The sequence below is a fragment of the Homo sapiens genome, chromosome 6, assembly GCF_000001405.40.
Source record: "Homo sapiens chromosome 6, GRCh38.p14 Primary Assembly".
Taxonomy (NCBI): Eukaryota; Metazoa; Chordata; class Mammalia; order Primates; family Hominidae; genus Homo; species Homo sapiens.
In genome coordinates, this window is record NC_000006.12 from 90,350,140 (window position 1) to 90,370,266 (window position 20,127).

Consider the following 20,127-nt stretch of genomic DNA (forward strand, 5'->3'; position numbering starts at 1 on the left):
CAGAATGATCTTTCAGAAGTGTAAATCATATCATGTCTTTCCCTGATTAAAACTTTTCAGCGGCTTCTGATCCCCTCCTTAACATGGTCTGTGAGGCCCTGCAAGACTTAGCTTCTGCCAGCTCCACAAACCCACCTCACCAGCTTCAGCTACTCTGCCTTCTGTTCTCCCACCTCTGGAATGCTTGACCTTCTAGGGGAGACTGGCTGGCCCTTTCTCATCCTTGAAGATTAAGCTCAGATATTACCCTCTTCTAAGGCAATCCTTGAACACCCAGTCTGAAGTGGCCTCACCCTTGTTTTTTCCCTTCATTGTAGTTATCACAATATTAATTATCTTATGTATTTGTTATTCTATTTATTGCTGTCTCTTCCACTAAGATTGTAAGTTCCTTGAGGGCAGGGTCCTTGTCTTCTCAGTCTTCCTAGCACCTTCTATAGTGTCTGGCACAGCAGTAAGAACTCAATAAATATTTGGGGAATAAATGTATCTGTATTTGCTTGAAATGGACAAGTGATATGGTTTGGCTCTGTGTCTCCAACCAAATGTCATGTTGAATTGTGATTCCCAGTGTTGGAAGAGGGACCTGCTGGGAGGTGATTGGATCATGGGGGCAGATTTCCCCCTTGTTGTTCTTGTGATAGTGAGTGAGTTCTCATGAGATCTGTTGGTTTAAACACGTGTGGCACTTCCCTCTTTGTGCTCTCTCTCTCACTCTCTCTCTCTTCCTCCCTCCCTCCCTCTCCTCTGCCACCAGATGACGACATACTTGCTTCCTCTTCACCCTTCTGCCGTAATTGTAAGTTTTTTGAGGCCTCCCAACCATGCTTTATGCTTTCTGTACAGCCTGAGGAACTGTGAGTCAATTAAACCTCTTTCCTTCATAAATTACCCAGCTCAGGTAGTTCTTTATAGCAGTGTGAGAACAGACTAATACAACAAGGTTCACGTATTTTTCCTGTAAGGCCCCCAAAGTTCTGCATACATCAGTGGATGCAAATAGATGCTTTGAGGAGGAATATCACCATCTCCAGCTGTCAGGCTGATCGAGTCTGATTGGCACCCACTAGGATTTCCCTTACACATGTAACATGTGGGCTGCTGGAGGCAAAGGTAATGTTTAGTAGACCTCATTCCTCATATCAGATCCAACCTTCCTTGTCATCTCTTCTGACTGTCTTTCTGTTTCTGCTGGTTTGCTCAGAGCCTGTCACTGCAGCACCTAATCAGGCCGATCTCTTTAGCACTGACCTAGTCTGGTGTTGGACTTCTCTCCTTGTTATCAAAACATACCTCCCTCTTTCCTCAGTTCATGAAGTTGGAAGACACTTCTCTGCTACTGTGTGGTGATGGGGGCGTTAGTGGGGTAAACAGTTTAACTGTTTTAACTTCATTCGTGGTTAAGAGGTACCAGGGGCCCTCTGATAATAAAACACAGCTAAGATGTATCTAAGGCTTATAGAAAGCAACAATAAACCATTTTTGACTGTGCAGGAATTTAAGTTTTTATATAAGAATATACTTCATTTTGGATTTTGTACAAAGATTTAACATGTTGAAATTTTAAAATATTATTTGAATAGTAAGGTTGTGAAATCATACAAAGTGAAATTTAAAAGATCCTGAAAAACAAGTTGGAAAATAGCTTTATATTGATCAGCCGAGAGTTTGACATTTGCCTCTTTGACATGGCATATACTGATGCAATAGGAAACATTGCATTACCACACAAAAAAAGTTTATTTACAGACCTCAGAGTTGCATTCAGTAACATTCTTGGCCAAGATCAAAACGTGGAACGTTTTTTCCATTCAGAAAAGCAGAATCACTTAGCCTGAGTCATGACTGCCCACTTTTTCCCATATGGTTGAAATACTGTCTGTTGGCTGAGGTTGACAATTTAAAGACTTTGTGGCTGATTAGTTCTAACTATGGTAGCAATTGAGAAAGGTAACGTTAGGTACTATTAAGAAGGAGATATCTGGCTTGTTGAAAAATACAAATCAAACACTGTAGCAAATATTTGGTAAGGGAGAAAAAAGCTGAAATAATGAAAACTGGCTGGCATCCCCAGTACCTCTCTCCCCATCCAATAATCACAAATCCCCCTGATTCTTTCTTTGTCTGGCTCTTAGAGTTAACACATTCTATCTGTTTTAAAAGTTCACACCCTAGTCTGGTGCCTGGCATTGATTCAAGCTTCTCTGCCTCATGGCTATTGATCAGTCTTCTTAGAGCAACATTTTTATAGCCCTCCCTTCTGATCAAGATTTGTCTCTGGGGATAGTAGGCAAACTCCCACTCCCTGGTATGGCATCAATAACCCTACATCACATGTGGTTTTTAAAATTGTAGTAAAACATACATAACAGAAAAGTTAACATTTTAACAATTTCTAAGTCTATAATTCAGTGGCATTAAGTACATTCACAATATTGTGGAACCATCACCACTATTCATTTCCAGAACTTTTTCATCATGCCAAACAGAAACTCTGCACTCATTAAACAATAACTCCCCATTCCTCCTCCTCTATCCCCTGGTAACCTCTATTCTTTCTGTGTCTATGGATTTGCCTATCTAGGTACCTCATATAAATGAAATCATACAATATTTGTCATTTTGTGTCTGGCTTATTTTAACTTACGTACTGTTTTTAAGGTTCATTCATGTAGCACATATCAGAATTTCTTTTTTTCTTTTCTTTTTTTTTTTTTTCTTGCTCTGTTGCCCAGGCTGGAGTACAGTGGCATGATCATGACTCACTGCAACCTCTGCCTCCTGGGCTCAGGTGATCCTCCCACCTCAGCCTTCCGAGTAGCTGGGACCACAGGGACAACCACGTCCAGCTAATTTTTGTATTTTTTTTTTTTTTTACAGATGAGGTTTCACCATGATGCCCAGGCAGATCTTGAACTTCTGGGTTCAAGTGATCCACCCACCTTGGCCTCCCAAGGTGCTAGGATTACAGGTGTGAGCCATCGCACCTGGCCCCAGAATTTCATTACTTGTTTAAAGCTGAATAATATAATATTATATTAATAATATTCCATTGTATATACCACATTTTGATTATCCATTAATCTGTCAATGAACATCTGGGTTGTTTCCACCTTTTGGCTGTTGTGAATAGTGGTGCTATGAACGTTGGTGTGCAAGTATCTGTTTGAATCTATCCTTTCAAATCTTTTTGAAGGGGAATTGCTGGATCATACAGTAATTTTAACTTTTGGAGAGGCCTGTCACATGGTTTTGACATACCTCCACCTTTGTTCTCACTTTTCTTTTTTGACGCCTCTTCTCAAGGTAGGCAGTTTCCTAGCACAGTCCCTGTGTGGACCCAAGCTGTATCTCCCTGCAAGCTGAACACAAAATGCTTCTCCTCTTCCCCACCACCATGCCCTTCTCTAAGTATCAACTCAAGCTCTTCCCCCTACTGATAATAAATCCCAGCACCTGCAATCTGGAAGTGAAAAAGTAATTACAACGATGTGCCTCAAGTCTTTGCTTTTTTCTCTTAACAAAGCAAATGACATCACATTCTAAAAACGCTCTTTCCTTATCACTCTCAGCTTCTTCCATATGGATGGCACCAGCTCCCTAAGAATCAATCTTTCTCTCTTTTCTTGTTAAATTCCAACCTCTTCAGCCTCAACACTCAGACTTTCTGTCTCTCTGCCTTGTCCACCAGGTAAATCCTTCTTTATATGATCAACTTACCCTCTTAGGTTTTCAAAGTTTTTGCATTGTTTCCCCACTATATAAACTGTGCACAATTGAGGACATCTGGCTGCTGACACAAAGGAAAGTCACTCTAAAAGCTAGGGACAGGGGCTAAATTGTGAATGCTTATGTATTAATAATTTCCCCACTTCTATATTCACCTTGGAAAAGATCACGACTTCTTTACATTGTAAGAATATTTTCACCAGATAAATCTAAGCTATTTGAGGGTAGATTTGGGGTCTCTTACTGCTTTGCTTAGAACATCTCATTGTCAATAGCACAAATTCCTTGCCCTGGCATTCCAGACTCCTCATGCATTCATCTCGATCTTCCTTTCCAGTATTATTCCCCCTACCATCTCTCATGCCCTTTGTGCCCCAATGAATAGGAACACCAACTATTTCCCCAACTGTCCCCGAGTTTTCCTGTCATCATTTGCTCCTTCTTCCATTTATCCTGTTTACCCTCTTCTTGCACCTGTCCAGTTTCTGCCCATCTCTCAAGTTCAAAGTCAAATGCTGTTGTTTCCATAAAAATAGTTGTTGTGAAGATTAAACAATGTGTGCAAAAAGTTAGCATAGTGACTAGTATTGAGTAAGCACTAGATAAATAGCACATAATAAATGTTTTGCCCTGTATTATTATTCTTGTAAACGTCTTCTTTATAATGTATAAGATTTTAGCCTTATTTGTTTTTACATGTCCTCCATAGGCTAAATCAGTTTGGACTCTTTTGGCAACTGAAAACGCAACTCAAACTCACTTAAACAAAAGGTAGAATTCATTGAGTCACATAACTGAAAAGTCCAGGTGTTAGGCTGGCTTCTCCCTGTTTCTATAAACTCAGATCTGCTTTCCTCTGTGTATTTTCATTCTCAGGCTCTTGAGGAGGTGAGATGGCTCCACTAGCCCCTGCCTCCCAGGTTCAGGTCTAGGAGAAGAAAGGGCTGGCTCCCCAGTAAACTCCACCAAAACCACACTGACCAAGAGAGAGGGAGGGTGGGATGGACATCCACACACAAATTGGAGGCTTATCAAAAGGAGGGTGAATGGATACTGGGGAGCCAAGAAATACCAAATGTTCACACTAGTGCCTTACATAAAGTAGATGCTCAGTAAATCTTTAGAGAATGAAATTTAATTAGTATCCTCTTTAGTAGTCAGTGTGCAAGATTAATTATTTATCAAATGATAGTTGAAAGGGGGAGGAAGGTAAAATTTGCTGAGCACCTACAATGTCATTTGCTTTAATCCAACAAATACTTGTGATATTATGCCCATTTTACAGATGAAGAAACTAAGGGTAAAGGGGTTAAGTAATCTTTCTGAGATTGTGCAAAGCTACTGCCTAGATCTGCCTGACCCAGAGGCCTGTGCTGTTTCCCAGGAGTTTATAGACCCTGCATTCTGGTTCTGGATGGCTATTTCTCTCTCTTCAATAATCACTGGGGGGATGACAAGGGCAATGCTACTGTCTTTCCCTGTAGACCATTTCATGGTTTTTTTTTTTTTTTTTTTTTAGACAAAGTCTTGCTTTGTCACCCAGGCTGGAGTGTAGTGCTGTGACCTCAGCTCACTGCAACCTTGATCTCCTGGGATCAAGTGATCTTCCAGCCTCAGCCTTCCGAGTAACTAGGACCATAGGTGCACAACACCACACTGGGCTAATTTTTTTGACTTCTGACTTTTAGTAGAGATGAGGTCTCTCTATGTTGCCCCAGCTGATCTTGAACTCCTGGGCTCAAGCAGTCCTCCCACCTCAGCCTCCCAAAGTGCTGGGATTACAGACGTGAGCCACCGCACCTGGACGTTTCATGTTGTGTAAATCTGAGGGTTAAGAAACTCCTTGACATTTCCATTATGTTAAGTGATCACATTTAACCCTTTTTGTCTTCCAGAGAAAGTGGAAAACCATTGAGTACTCTGTTTAAGAACACCTTCATGGATTTGATGGTAGTAATTAAGTAGTCACTTAGTCTTTTCTTCGTTTATGTTAAAGGCAGTCAATCCTTTTCACCTTTCCTAGGGGAGCCTATTTGCAGATTCTTTGACATAGGAAACATTTTTGCTCAAGCTCCGGGCCTTACTTTTTTAAGCCAGAACATGACTTGGGGCAGTTCTCAGACCCCGGGTTTCTCCGCCCTCCGGAGAGGTCGGCAAGGAAATGGACTCAGGTGTGTTGACTATCTGCTTATCCTCGGCGGGACCTCTGGGCTTGCTGCCGAACTCTCTCTACTGCTATGACCTCTTGGCTCACCCCTCCGCATGCACACACACCACCACCAGCAATATATACTCACGCACACGCTCACACTCCCACCACAGCGACACACACCCCAGGCCCTTGCTGAAGCTGGGGTTTTGTTTCTTAGTGGCAGCCGCTAGACTCACCTTCTCTAAACTCCTGACACAAGGGAGCCGCCTGGGCTTCAGGTCTCTGGACCGCTGCAGATTTAAGTCATTCTTGCTTTGAATCCCTGGCAATCTAATCGCTTTGTTTCTATGCTCCCACAGGAGACAAGGGAGGAATGTGTTTTGCTGTTTTGGATTTCAAGAAATGAAACAGAAACAAGAGCTGGTTTCTTGATAACTTTGTTCTTCTACGCTATGGTCTGTAGAATGATACAGTTTCTAGTTTAATTGGTCTGTGACCTGCAGACCCCTGTGTAAGACTCTTCCAGCTTTGAACATACCAAAGAAAATTTTAAAAGAAGAGGGGAGAAAAAAGGAGAAAAGTCTGCATATTGGGTAAAGGATGATTTTGTATGTGTGTGCTTTTCTATAGTTGCTAGGATTTCTGCAATGAACATGAGTTCACTTCGAAATCAGGAAAAACACTAATAAATATTGGAGTTAATTCTAAGTAGTTAAAAGAATAAAATGATAACCAATTATTTTTCAAGCCAATGCAAATTAAAATAAAAGAAGAATGGCAGTAATAATAAGACAAAGTAGAATTCATCATAAAGCAACACTTGGAATAAAAGAGCCATTTGTGGGCATTTTATGTTGATAAAAGGTACAATGCAGGATGAAGATATTATAATGATCAAAGTCACACAATAAAAGCACAATATTAAATATAAAAAACAAAAATTTGACAGGAATGAAAGGGGAATTCAGCAGAAAAACAATTGTTATAAGAGACGTAAGCACCAGACTTTGACAATTAGCAGAGGAAAAAAAAAGACACCTAAGTTTGATACACCATAATTATCAAAGTTGATTAATAGACAAATATTGAATTTTGTTCCCTAGCAACAAAGAATATGCCTTTCTGATGTATTATTTGAAAACCAGAGCAAAACAAATACTATAAAGGCCACAAAGAGAACTTTTGTCCAAAATGCAACAAAACTAGACAAAAATTACCAAAGTAAATAAAATTTTAAAAACTCACCCTTCCACCACTTAGAAACTAAAAAAATATGTATTATGACTGCATTAAAAAGAAAATGAAAACTATAATCACCAGCTATTTAGAAAGTAATAAAAATCAGAAAGTTATATATAAGCATTCATAGAATGTGACTAGATCAGTACAAAAGAGGTACGTTGAGGCCCCCACATGCTATCATTATTAAGCCAGAGAGTAAACATATGACTAAAGCATATGGCTAAAAAATGAGAAATAGAAGAATAAAATCCAACTAAGCAGAAATAAAAGGAAAAGAAAGATAATATGGCAATTTATAATCAGAAAATAAAGTATAATTGATAAATCCAAGTGTTTTTAATTTTTGTAAGGCTAACAATATAGAAGTGCTTTTTATCTGTTGAATCCAGGAAAAGAGAAAATATGAACCAACAATATTCGAAGTGAGAAAAAGAATATGAACATACCACAGAGGATATTTAAATTTAATAAGATTACATTCTATGCTAATAACTTGAAGATATTGATGAAATAGATGTTTTTCTGGGGAAAATTGCTAAAGTTGATTAAGTAATATATAAACAAAGTAAGTTTTACACACACACTCTCACACACACACATGCCAATAACCTTGAGAAGGAAATTATGAAATCATCAAAATATCTCCTTTCAAAAGCTTTCTGGGTCCAGCTGGCTTGCTAAAAAATTCTTCAAAATTTCAGAAAATGTATGATTTAATATGTTATAGAAACCATTCAAGAAAATAAGTGAAATTTAAAATTTAACAAATTTTGTTTATCTATTCACAAGTTAGTTGATGGACATTTTAAAAACTAGATGAATCAGCAATTCCACCCCTGGGACTCTACCAAGAGAAATGCAAACATGTGAAAACACGAAGTCATAGTAGCAGGATGAATAATGGACCCAAACTGGAAACAATCCAAATGTCCATCACCTGTTGATAAGATAAAAATGCAATGCAGGCCAGGCGCAGTGGCTCACGCCTATAATCCCAGCACTTTGGGAGGCCAAGGTGGGTGGATCACCTGAGGTCAGGAGTTCGAGACCAGCCTGACCAACATGGTGAAACCCTGCCTCTACTGAAAATACAAAAATTAGCCGGGCATGGTGGCACATGCCTGTAATCCCAACTACTCGTGAGGCTGAGGCTGGAGAATTGCTTGAACCCAGGAGGTGGAGGTTGCAGTGAGCAGAGATCGCGTCATTGCACTCCAGCCTGGGCGACAAGAGGGAAACTCCATCTCAAAATAAAATAAAATAAAATAAAAACGCAATACGGCCATACTAAGGAATACTATTCAACCCTAAAAAATGACTTAAATATGGATACAAGCTTTTACAGCATGATAAAACATGAATAAACCTCAAAAATATTATGCTATGTGAAAAAGCCAGAAACAAAATACTACATTCTATTCCATTTCTATGAAATGTCCAGAAAAGACAAACTTACAGAGTCAGAAAGCAGATCAGTGGCTACACAGGGACAGGATTTGGAGTAGAGGTGGAGGGGGATACTAGGAACCTTTCTAAAATTAGAATTTCTGCAAATCATTCTAAAATTAGTGATGGTTATACAACTCTATAAATTTCCAAAAAATCTTAGAATCGTATACTTAAGCTGGGTGATTTTTATGGTATGTAAATTTTACCTCAATGAAACTGTTAAAAATAGCTAGTTATCACAGACATACAAATTAACGTCCGTAAGATATCATTTACTGATGTAAATATATATCCAATTAGCAAGATTTAAAAAAATTTACTGTGGTATAAAGATTCAGTTTGATGGATACTGTCAAATATAGTTATTGGGATATACATTGGTAGAATGCTTTTTGAAAACAGATACTAAGAGTTATTACAATGTTAGCAGGCTTTGACTCATTCATTCTATTTGAAAAATCTATTCCTCCAAAAATAGAGTTGTGGGCAAATATTGCTGTAAAGGGATGTGCATTACAGAATTCTTTATGATAACTAAAAAGTAGAACAACCTAAATACCCAACATTAGAGAGATGGGTACATAAATCATATCATATCATACTATGGAATTTAAGTTGGTAAAAATCATATTTTCAAAGACAATGACATGGGAGAATGCTCAAGAAGTAATGTGAAATGGAAAAGTAGGATCTGAACTGTATATACATACTAATCCTAAATGGAAAAAAGTGTCTTTTATGATGGGAAGGGTCTAAACCAAATGTTAACATTTATTTTCTGAGTGGGGTAATTATGGATAATGTAATTTTCTTCTCAATACTTTTTGTTCTGTTTTCTTTTGTTCTTGGCAATGAGCATATATTGCTTTATCATTTGCAAATCAGAAATTTTATCAGAAAACAGTAAATGTTATTGAAAATAACAAAAATAGGATGGAAATGAATTACAACTGTCCATCTGTGCCAAATGCAGTTTTCAAGTAGTAAGTAGAAAGTCTATATAACAGTCCTGACTTGCTGAGCTTCCATTACACAAGGCAGTCAATGATGATGCCTACTCTCTTCAGCCTTCTTCCCATTTCAGCAGAGACACAGGGACAACTAAGCCAACCTGGGGGAGGGTGGTGTGTGTGTGTGTGTGTGTGTGTGTGTGTGCGCGCGCGCACGCAATGCTGGATCTTTAGAACTGAGATGCACCTTCCCACCTTTGAGTGATGGAGCCTCCTAACAACATAGTCACACAATGGGCCACATTTTGGCCTTATGTATTCAATGCTGTTGACCTGTTGTAAATTACCAATGTATTTATGTTACATATAGTACCAGGATATACATGCGTATACAAAAACCCTGGGCTCTGAAGCATAAAACTTCTCCTTCTAGATTCCTTTTGATTTAAAATTCAGTCTTTCCTGTAAATAAGTGTGTGAGTTGAGTCGGGGAGGCAGGGAGAAGTCAGAGGGAAAAATAGCACAACTAAAAGGAAGGGAAATGAGGAGACAGCAACTAAACTGAGGAAAGTCCAACTTTAAGTGGCCTCTGGAGCTAATGAGTAGGATGTGCCCAAGCCATCCCTCTCTGAAGTCACATTATTAGCTGCTCCCCAAACATTTTCCAACCTAACTTTTTAAATAATTAAACAAATGAAAAAGAAACCTCCTTTCTTCAAGTGTAAAAGCTCCTAGGGCTTTGGTCTTTATTACTAATAAATTTCCACCAGCCCCCATCCTCTGCCTTGACAGAGTGTGGGAGAAGCTGGCTGGGAATGAGATTTTTGCCACCTTGATGAGTGTGCTCATTAGGGAAGCCACTTGGTTTGAAGACCTGCCCCAGCCAATCTGATTGTGGATTTTATTGAAATAATTTTATAAACAAGTCTTCAGACAAGGTTTAGTCCTTATGAATCCTCCAAGCTCATTACTACCCCCAGGAAGAAAATTGAAGAGATAAAAATAAAGTCTAGGATTAAAACACTTTCACCTTTAGGCAAAACAGTCTCCAGGGCCTTCAGATTTCTCCATCTGTAAAACAAGGGTAATGATATTTCCTTCTCCAGCTCATCAGAAGAGCTAACACGAAATTCTGGAGAGCATTCTTGGCAGCTGGGAAAGAAGGTAACTAATAAACCTGATTATTTTTAATAGCATAAGGACCTAACAATGACAAATAAATGTCTGGTCTCTCTTACGACAGGGTAAAAACAATGTAAAGGAGAGACATACGTATGGTGTAATAAATCAGCCAAATATCTTGGAAATTCACCTGTCTTGAATGGGAAAGCTGTTCTCTTTCCAATATTTTCTTTGACATTAAGGGGTTTTAGCCCAATGACATTCACTGTAAAGATAATTAAATGTATTTGTGGCAGCTGCTACTGCAGAATCAGAGTGACCTTAGAAAGACGTTTGCATAGGAAAGCCTTCTACAGCCGTCAGATATTCCCAGGTGGTGGGGAACATTTCAAAGCAGCCTGCCTCCTACACCCCTCACCCAGTAGTCAGTCAAAAGGCAGAAGACTAAAATTCCTATTGACCACGAGTGTCTCAAACTCAACAGGGAGGGTGTGCCTGAATTTTAAGATAATCCCACAAAGCCAAACTCAAGAGTGCACAGAAGCATCACATTTAGAAAGTGTGAAAGAGCTGGATGAAGCTCAAGAATGATCGACATATCCCTTTCTGAAGTAAGTGACAGCATCTTCTGGTTCTACCCGCTTTCTTATTTTTGCATCAAACATAAATAGTAAGTGAAGAAATGTAATTCAATAGCAGAGCTTCAGGTTCCTGAGATTAGATGAAAGGGATCCTTAGCACCAAGGCACAAAGACATGAAAAAAAGTCAGAGACGAAAGGAATGGTAAGAAGCAAACTTCAGTCGGAAAAATCTTGTGTATCAGAGTGGCTGTTTTGAGCTTCACAGAGTCGTCCTGAGCATACATTATACTGGGTTTCGCTGCTTCACGTAGTATCAGGTATTTCATATAAATAATTAAAAAGCCACTGGCTGCTGGGGCCAGGTTTAAATGGATTGAAAAGGAGCGTGGGTCACCTGTTTTCAGGCTGGGAGACTTAATGAGAGGGTGGACAAGGCATTGAGAGATGACGATGCTCTCGTGAAGGATTTAAGGACAGCATCCATCTCCAAGGCTGTATTTCCACCCCCACCTCCTCCAGGCTCACCTTTCTGGCTCAAGGTTTTTCATGTGCTCTTTTTATTATTCTTTTTTGATTCACAGCTACCATATGCACATGTTAAGAGGCTCAAACTTGGCCAGGCACAGTGGCTCACGCCTGTAATCCCAGCACTTTGGGAGGCCGAGGCGGGTGGATCACGACGTCGGGAGTTCAAGACCAGCCTGGCCAAGATGGTGAAACCCCATCTCTACTAAAAACCCCAAAAAATTAGCTGGGTGTGGTGGTGGGCACCTGCAATCCCAGCTACTCGGGAGGCTGAAGCAGAGAATTGCTTGAACTCAGGAGGCGGACGTTGCAGTGAGCTGAGATCGTGCCACTGCACTCCAGCCTGGGCGACAGAGCGAGACTACATCTCAAAAATAATAATAATAAAAAAAAAGAAAGAGGCTCAAACTTGTCTTTTAAAAAGTGAAGTGCCTTGCCTTGTCCTACACCGTGGCCTCTCCTTGGACACAAACAGGCAGGGAGTGTTTAAGATAACAGCATTGCAGAGTGCAAACGGCCCCCAAAGTGGAGCCAGAGGAACCTATGAGATCATTTGGAAAAGCTTGTGAATTCACTGCCATTTGCCTACTTGGCTTCGGATGAAAAGCAAATCTTAAAGCTGCTCAAAATGTGTCTGATTCATCTGTAACTGAGAATGAGACCAATCAGGGATAAGAAGTGAGTAAAATCCTTGTGATCACAGAGCCAAGAGAGCCTATTTTAAAGCACTTAATGTATTTTTTTTCTTAAAGATATATACACCAACTGTAATTAAGCTCTCCCTTTCCTTATGATCTTGGCAAGATGTTAAAAAAGAGATAGAGGGAGGGAGTCGACTTGCCAAGTGGATTTTTCTAAGCGTTCTCAGCCCTAATTAAAAGTCCTTTGTGCAAGGCCAACCAGCAATCAGATTCCTAATTAGAGTTGAGCAAACTGCCTTGGTGAACTGTGGGTTTCTCTGAACCCGGGAATCTGAGGAAAAAGTCTGTCTGTCTCAAAGGTGCCATTTTCTGAAGCACAAACACACCCAAATCCTAAAAGGCATGTCTCACAAGGGCAATGTCACAACCTTAATACTGTTGGTCGATTACTGTTTTTGCCTTGAAACGGCTCCGCAGCATCCTATATATTGCGTTGTTACGTCTGTTTTGCTGTTTGTTACGGTATTATGATGAAATGGCGCCTTATTAAAAACCTGTCTTCAGGATCTGGAATTCTGGGACTTGAGATTTAAGTGTATTAAATGCCAGGAATTCATGGTTTATGTCCAGAAAAAGAAGACCATTCTGCCATTAACTGGATTTCCCCTGGAGTCTTGGGAATCATAATAGTGTGTACACAAGTGCTTACCACATGCGAACACAGCTCTAAGAACTCTATAAATACGAATGCATTCACCTCTCACGAGGATGCCATGAGGCAGGCTCTATTATCTCCCCTGTTTCACAGGGAGGAAACTGAGGCAAAGAGAAGTTAAGGCGGTATCTCAAAGTCACATTAGAAAGTGATAAAGCCAAGATTGACCTGCAGTCAGTCACATTCCAGAGCCTCTGCTCTTACCTCCCAGCACTGGAGCCATGGCGTTGGACCCCCGGTCCCCGGGCCTCATGCCCCGGTCCCCAAGCCTCATGCCCCGGGTCAGAGCATCCACACAGCAGTGCAGCTGGGAGCATGGCTCCATCTCCTATGTAGCCCCTGGATTTCTTCCTGATTACTAGGTAGGGTTTTCCAAGATCCACATTTCAAATTGAGAACTTCTGAAATGTAGGCCTTCAATAAAGAGATTATACCAAGATGTAAAAATAAAGAACATTGCTATTCTTCATTCCCAGAACTGTGGTGAAAGCAACAATGGCATTCTTGTCTCACCCAGTGAGAGACAAAGCACCCCAAAGCCACAGCATCCAACGGAGATGCCACAAAAAAGGATGCCCACCCTTGGCTTAGCTCATCTCATACATAACTCTTCATTTCTCGATTTTTCCAGAAATGTACACATCCTGAGACAGGGAGGAAGTGCTCACAATTAGACAATTTTCTTTTCTCCAGGGCTTTCATTTGAATCAGATTCATGAAGGAAAAACTCTTTCTGGGTTTTTTTTTTTAGATCATTATTTAATAGTCTTAATAGAAGATGGATTTTATCTGTAGATTTTTGCTTTCAATTAAAAATGCTAAATGTAAATATTGTAGTGTCAAACCTTTTAAATGTTTAATATACAGCACACTGCAAAAGAAATACTTTTGTGTAGTCAGGACTTGGCAGTTTACATGGTGTCATTTAGGGGTGGGGGGCAGCATGATGAGAGGATGGTGGTGTCAGAACCGTGGAGGAGAAGGACATCAGAGACACCAACAGACATGAGAAAAAAGAAAAACGAGACTAGAAAGAGAATGAGGGGAAGAACGAGGGGCCCCAGAGAAAGGCTTTCCTTCCCAGAGACAAATGAAAATTCTATAGTTTTTATAAGAAAGAAAGAAAAACACCCCAAAGAGCTCTGTGGGAGTGTGGGAGGATGAGGGGCTCTAGTGCTTGGCTTATATTTCCATCGTGGCTGAGTGATGATGAACTGCTGCTGGAGGCCTGTGACCGGCTTCTCTGGGGGTGCTCTGGCATTGCCACCACATCTGTTCTCACATTTCAGTGGGAGGGGTCAGCAAAGGGGGGAACCTCACAAGTCTGTTGTTCTGCAGTTATCACATTGCATTGTAATTCCTACAACACAAGTATAGCCTACCTCCCTCACTCGTCTATAGTCTATAAATCGGAGCACAAGGGTTGGGCTTTATTCAAATGCACCTCTTTAGTGGTGGATATATAGTTGGTCCTCAATAGTGTTTGCGGATGAATGGGGGTTTACAGTATCCACCACACTGCCCTGTATGATGCCTTTGAAGCAGCAGGCACTTAATGGACGTTCATTGAATGAATCAGGTCCCCATTCAACAGCAAGTCACATGCTCAAATTTTTTAAATTCTGAAAAAACAAGGCAGACAGGGTAAGAAGTCCAGGATCTGAATAATAGATCCTTTAGGACCTCCCAGAGGAAATAATTAAGGAAAATAAAATGTTTGAGAAAGATTAACAGATTTGCTTCTGGAACGGTAAGGAAACAAGAGAACGCCAGCGTTTCAGGATGCATCCATCTGTGGTTACCATTCCAAGCTGACATTCCTCTCCTCTCTAAAAGTCACTGAGGCCTCTCAGGGTTTTAACATTATCTGAAAGCAATCCTGAGGAACTGGCCCGGATGCTGAAGCCATACCTTAAGACAGGTAAACAGTTTCCATTCATGTGTGTGTTGCTTTGTGTAATTCATCTCACCCTCCGGCAATACGAAAAGATGTATATTCAGATGATCTAAGTTACAGAAAAATGTAGTTACCTGATTAAATTAAGAGGTAGTGTACATAGCCAGAGACTGGTGAGATTTTAAGATTAGCTTGTGCTGGTGTTTATTCTCCTTTTCCTTTTAAAACATTCTTCAAAGCTATGATCAGACACAAATCCAATCAGAAATACTCCATGTTACTCTTCTCTTCCATCCCTGCTTGTCTTAAGTGCCAATGATATGTCAGGTATTTTGCTGGTTTTTACATTCCTTTATTCCCTGACAACTTGAGTTGGCTTTTCCTAGTTAGTACATAAGATGATTTAATCTTGCGTATGTTCATAAAACTTGGTTCTGTGACTGCCAAATATCTTTTGAAGTAGTATTGTCACTCTGTTCCTCTTTTAGGAGGAATATGGAGGTGTAGAGTAGGTCAGTTTTATTCCTTGGATATTGGTGTCAGGTTGGGTGTAAATATTTTCCAACCAAGCCCTGCAATCCAGTGCAGTAGAGCTAAACGGACAGTGACCCATGTTCAGTGGCTGAATGTTTGCTGTGGACCTGGGATGTTAACTTTGCAAAACAAGGTATAAGTGGAACTTTTCCAAAAATGTTTTTTGAGAGTATAGTGTTGAAACTGCCACTGGAGCAAAGAGCCTGGACAGATAGGATTGCAATATGGAGTCCCTCTGGGCTTCGTTCATCTGCTTTTACTTGTCTGAGCCGGTAAAGGGCTGGGATCAAATGTGGATGGCTTTCCTAATGATAGCCAAGATTTACTGAGGACTTGCGATGTCCATCCGCTAATCAGTGCTAAGTGCTAGGCATGGCTTATCTCCTTTACTCTTCAACAACAGTCTTATCGGCAAGGTTCTAGTATTATCCTCATTTTACTGATAAGGAAATGAAGCCTTAGAAATATTAAGAAATTTGCCTAAGGTCAAACACCAAATGAGTGCCGTTCTTCATTCTGTAATAGAGCTTCTTTTACATTGTATACATTTAAGGAATATAACATGATATTTTGAAATACATATACATAGTAAAATCATATCTACAGTCAAGCTAATTTACATATCTTTCACCTGACATTGTTACCTTTTTAATGGTAAGAGCATCTAAAATCTAAACTTTTAGCACATTTTTCATATTCAATGCAATATTACTAATTATAGTTCTCATGCCGCATATTAGATCTCTAGACTTATTCATCCTATGTAACAACAACTTTGCACCCTTTGGCCTACATTTTGGTCCACATTTCCCCAATTCCTCCTTCGCCCCTCTATGCACCCAGTGACCCCTATTCACTCTGTTTATACGTATTTCACTTTTTTTTAGATTCCACATGTAAGTGAGATCATGTAGTATTTTTCTCTTTGTGTTTGGCTTACTTCACTTAGCATAATGTCCTCCAGGTTCATCCATGTTGTCACAAATGGTAGAATATCCTACATTTCAGGGCTGAATAATATTCCATTCTCTCTCCCTCTCTCTCTCTCTCTCTCTCTCTCTCTCTATATATATATATATATATATATAGATATAGATATATACACACACACACTATATATATACACACACATATATATACACATATATATATACAACATATATATATATACACACACACAACCAGCCGATATAAGAACTCATTCCTTCAATAGGCACTCTCTCTCTCTCCCTCTCTCATATATATATATGAATGGATAAAGAAGAAATTGTGTTTTTATATATGTATAAGTTCCACTTATACCTATACATACCTCTCTCTATATATACACCTCTCTCTATATATATGTGTATCTATACCTCTCTCTCTATATATATTCATATATGTTCTCTATATGTACATATATATAGAGAGAGGTGTATATATATATACCTTCTTCTTAAAGAAGAAATTGTGAGAGAGATATATAATATATATATCGTATATGTATAAAGTATATATATATATATACACCTCTATATATATATCTATACCTCTCTATATATACATATATGTATGCATACATATATACGTATATATTCATATATACGTATATATGTATGCATACATATATGCATATATATTCATATATATTCAGCTCCTTTGCCCATTTTTAAATTTGGTTTTTTTTTTTTTTTTGCTATTGAGTCATGTGAGTTCCCTCTATATTTTAATTATCAATGCCTTATCAGATGTATGGTTGGCAAATATTTTCTCCTAAATCTGTAGGCTGTCTTTTCATTTTGCCAATTGTTCACTGTGCAGAAGCTTTTTAGTCTGATGTAGTCTCAGTTGTTCATTGTTGCTTTTGTTGCCTGAGCTTTTGTTATGATATCCAAAACTCATTGCCAAGGCCAATCTCAAGGAGCTTTCCTCCTACACTTTCTTCTAGGAGTTTTATGGTATCAGGGCTTATGTTTAGGTCTTTAATTTTGAATTGATTTTTTTGCATATGGTGTAAGATAAGGATCCAGTTGCATTCTTTGGCATGTGAAGATCCAGTTTTCCCAGCACCATTTATGGAAAAGACCAACATTTCCCCATTGCAACCTTTTGGTGGCCTTGTTGAAAATTGTTCTCACTATATATGGTTAGGCTTCCGTTCCATTGGTTTATGTGTCCACATGTTTTGATTACTATAGCTTTTTAACATAATTTGAAATCAGGAAGTGTGATGCCTCTCACTTTTTTTTTTTTCTTCAGATTGCTTTGGCTATTTGTGTTCTGTTGTGACATAACTTCTAAGAAGGGATTTGTATAAAATGTGTACAACACGTTATGGTTTATTAACTTTCTTTCACTGGCCTTGTTTAATTTTACTCTCACCTTATCTTTTTAGGGTTGGTGACATTATTCTGATTTTGCAGATGAGGAAACAGAAGCACAGAGACGTTTTGTGGCTTGCTTTGCTGTCCTTAGGCAGAGAGGAGTCTGATGGAGAGTTAACTATAGTATTCTCCGTGGCAGATGGCTGTGCCTCCTGTCCAGGGCAATTTGCCTTAGCAGGCTGGAGAACAAAGAGCACTGAGCCAAGAGTCCTTGGCCCCACCACCTTCCATATAACCTGAGGACTTCTGTTTCCTCAATATGGTTCTTGGGGTCGTTTTTAGGATGAATTGGGTTTTGTGAGAATTGTGTATTGCCATGCAAATATATGTTATGAATAATACCTTTGAACAGTCATTCTTCAGCTTATGGAAGCCTATCCATTTAAGGTAGAAACTTAAGATGTATCTTTCTCCTCCCTGTATTTGGTAAAGTTAGGAGCTAGGGCAGCATAGTTGAAATGAATTAAAAGAACTTTTTTTTCCATTTTTCTAATTTCTATTTCCATAATATAAGTACCCATTCATGGAAAAATAAAAATTAGGTAAGTGATAGAAATTACAAAGAAAGTTACAAATATTCAAAATGCTTCAGTCTACCAACCTTGAAGAATAAAATATTTTCCTATTCAAGAACAAAGAATCTTGTGGTTATGTTGATAGAGAAAATATCTTTAAGCCACACTTTTTAAAAGTCATGCAAAAATAAGCTCTGAGGTTTATTTGTTTTAGTGGGCTGTGCTCCACTGGCATCCTTCCTGGGAACATCATTCTTCTTTCCTTTTGTTTTCCCCTGAATTTTTGAGCATAGGTTTACAGTTTGAAGGGGGAAAAATATTTTCAGCTTACATTTACTGTTTTTTTTTTTTCAGTAATAAGACCACATAAGGTTGAGATCCAGGTATGAGAAAGCTTAATAAAACTTAATGTCTTGGTTCTTGATGACCAGCCAGTGCACATGCCACTAAGTAAGTGAGATTCATCCTCTAAGGATTCACAGTGAATCTTTAACCCTGCCCTTGAGAAAGTATTAAAGAAGATCCAGAGACGGGAGCAAAACAAAATACACAACCAGAGACACTGTGTGCTGTCAGCAGCAGGCATGTACTGGTCAAGGAATTAGATGACTCAAGGTGGTGACTCATTCAGCAACTATGTAGTGTTTGCGGTTGAAGAGAAACCTTGGCCAGAGAATGACTAAAATCTATTGGCAGCGTCTTTAAAAGAATCATGACTGGGCCTACACCAGCGAATACGCAAGTGTGCTTTTTTTCTTCGTCTTTTACTAATTCAAGACTGAGAGTAAGAAAACACCATCCTTGTTGACGCCCACTATTACAGCATGCTCTCCAGGGCATTCCCAGCAACTACGCTCAGTGAGACTGAGTCCAGATACTTATCTCTGTGTTTGGACGTGGTCATATGTGTGCATGTTTGTAGTTAGTAGGATGAACAAGTCAGACTTATACAAATTGTTAGAGGCACTTGTTCTTGATAATTAAAAAAAAAAAGCCAAGAGAAAGTTTCCAAATTTAGTTATTGTATTAGTTTCCTGGGGGCTGCCATAACAAAATACTACAAACTGAATGGCTTAAACAACAGAAATGTATTCCCTGGCAGTTCTGGAGGCTGGAAGTCTGAGATCCAGGCGTCAGCAGCGTTGGTTCCTTCTGAGGTCTGTGAGAAAGAATTCGTTCTGTGCCTCCCCCTGAGCTTCTTGGTGGTTTGCTGGAGGTCCTTGGCATTCCTTGGCTTGTAGAAGCACCGTTGTGTTCTTTATCTTCACCTCCACATGGCGTTCTCCCTGTGTGTCTCTGTCTCCAAATTTCCTCCTTTTAGAAGAAACCAGTCACATTGGATGAGGGGCCCACTCTGCTCCAGTATGGCCTCATGTTAACTAATTGTACCTGCAATGCTCCTATTTCCAAATAAGGTCACATTTCTGAGGTCCTGGCAGTTAGGACTCCAACATAAGAATGGACAGGAGGGGGACAGAATTCAACCCATCGCCTTCTCCATATCAGCCAGAGCTAATTTATTACAAAACTAGTGGATCCATTTGAAATTTTGTGCTAATCAATGTTAGTCTCTTTTTTAAGTCCAGAAGAAAATTTCAGTTTTAAAAAAGTTTGAATATATTTCATATTAGAAGGAGTAACTATTTAAAAATAATAGAGACTCACTAGCCTAAAACAAAGTAGTTAACCAAACAATTTATTAATCATC

General features: G+C 39.3%; 1 long non-coding RNA gene across 2 annotated transcripts in view, besides 2 other annotated features; it reads left to right on the plus strand.

The window, feature by feature from the left end:
- The window catches only part of LOC105377891 (uncharacterized), a 60,354-nt gene extending 52,901 nt beyond the window's left edge, over positions 1-7,453 (plus strand). Inside the window, exons 6-7 of one of the 2 annotated variants that reach the window (XR_942778.4) lie at positions 5,625-5,679; positions 6,241-7,453. This is a non-coding gene — a long non-coding RNA (uncharacterized LOC105377891). The remainder of the gene's footprint in view (positions 1-5,624; positions 5,680-6,240) is intronic. The other variant, XR_007059677.1, reaches the window with a different exon arrangement.
- Positions 9,467-9,667: a silencer, noted in NCBI's record as "peak5961 fragment used in MPRA reporter construct". NCBI's record gives its function as "represses an SCP1 promoter by STARR-seq MPRAs in K562 erythroleukemia cells {active_cell/tissue: K562}" and the evidence as "EXISTENCE:reporter gene assay evidence [ECO:0000049][PMID:32103011]".
- Positions 18,728-19,927: an enhancer, noted in NCBI's record as "BRD4-independent group 4 enhancer chr6:91078586-91079785 (GRCh37/hg19 assembly coordinates)". NCBI's record gives its function as "activates an origin of replication core promoter dependent on BRD2, P300/CBP, MED14 and CDK7 cofactors, and independent of BRD4, by STARR-seq in HCT116 cells {active_cell/tissue: HCT116}" and the evidence as "EXISTENCE:reporter gene assay evidence [ECO:0000049][PMID:35650434]".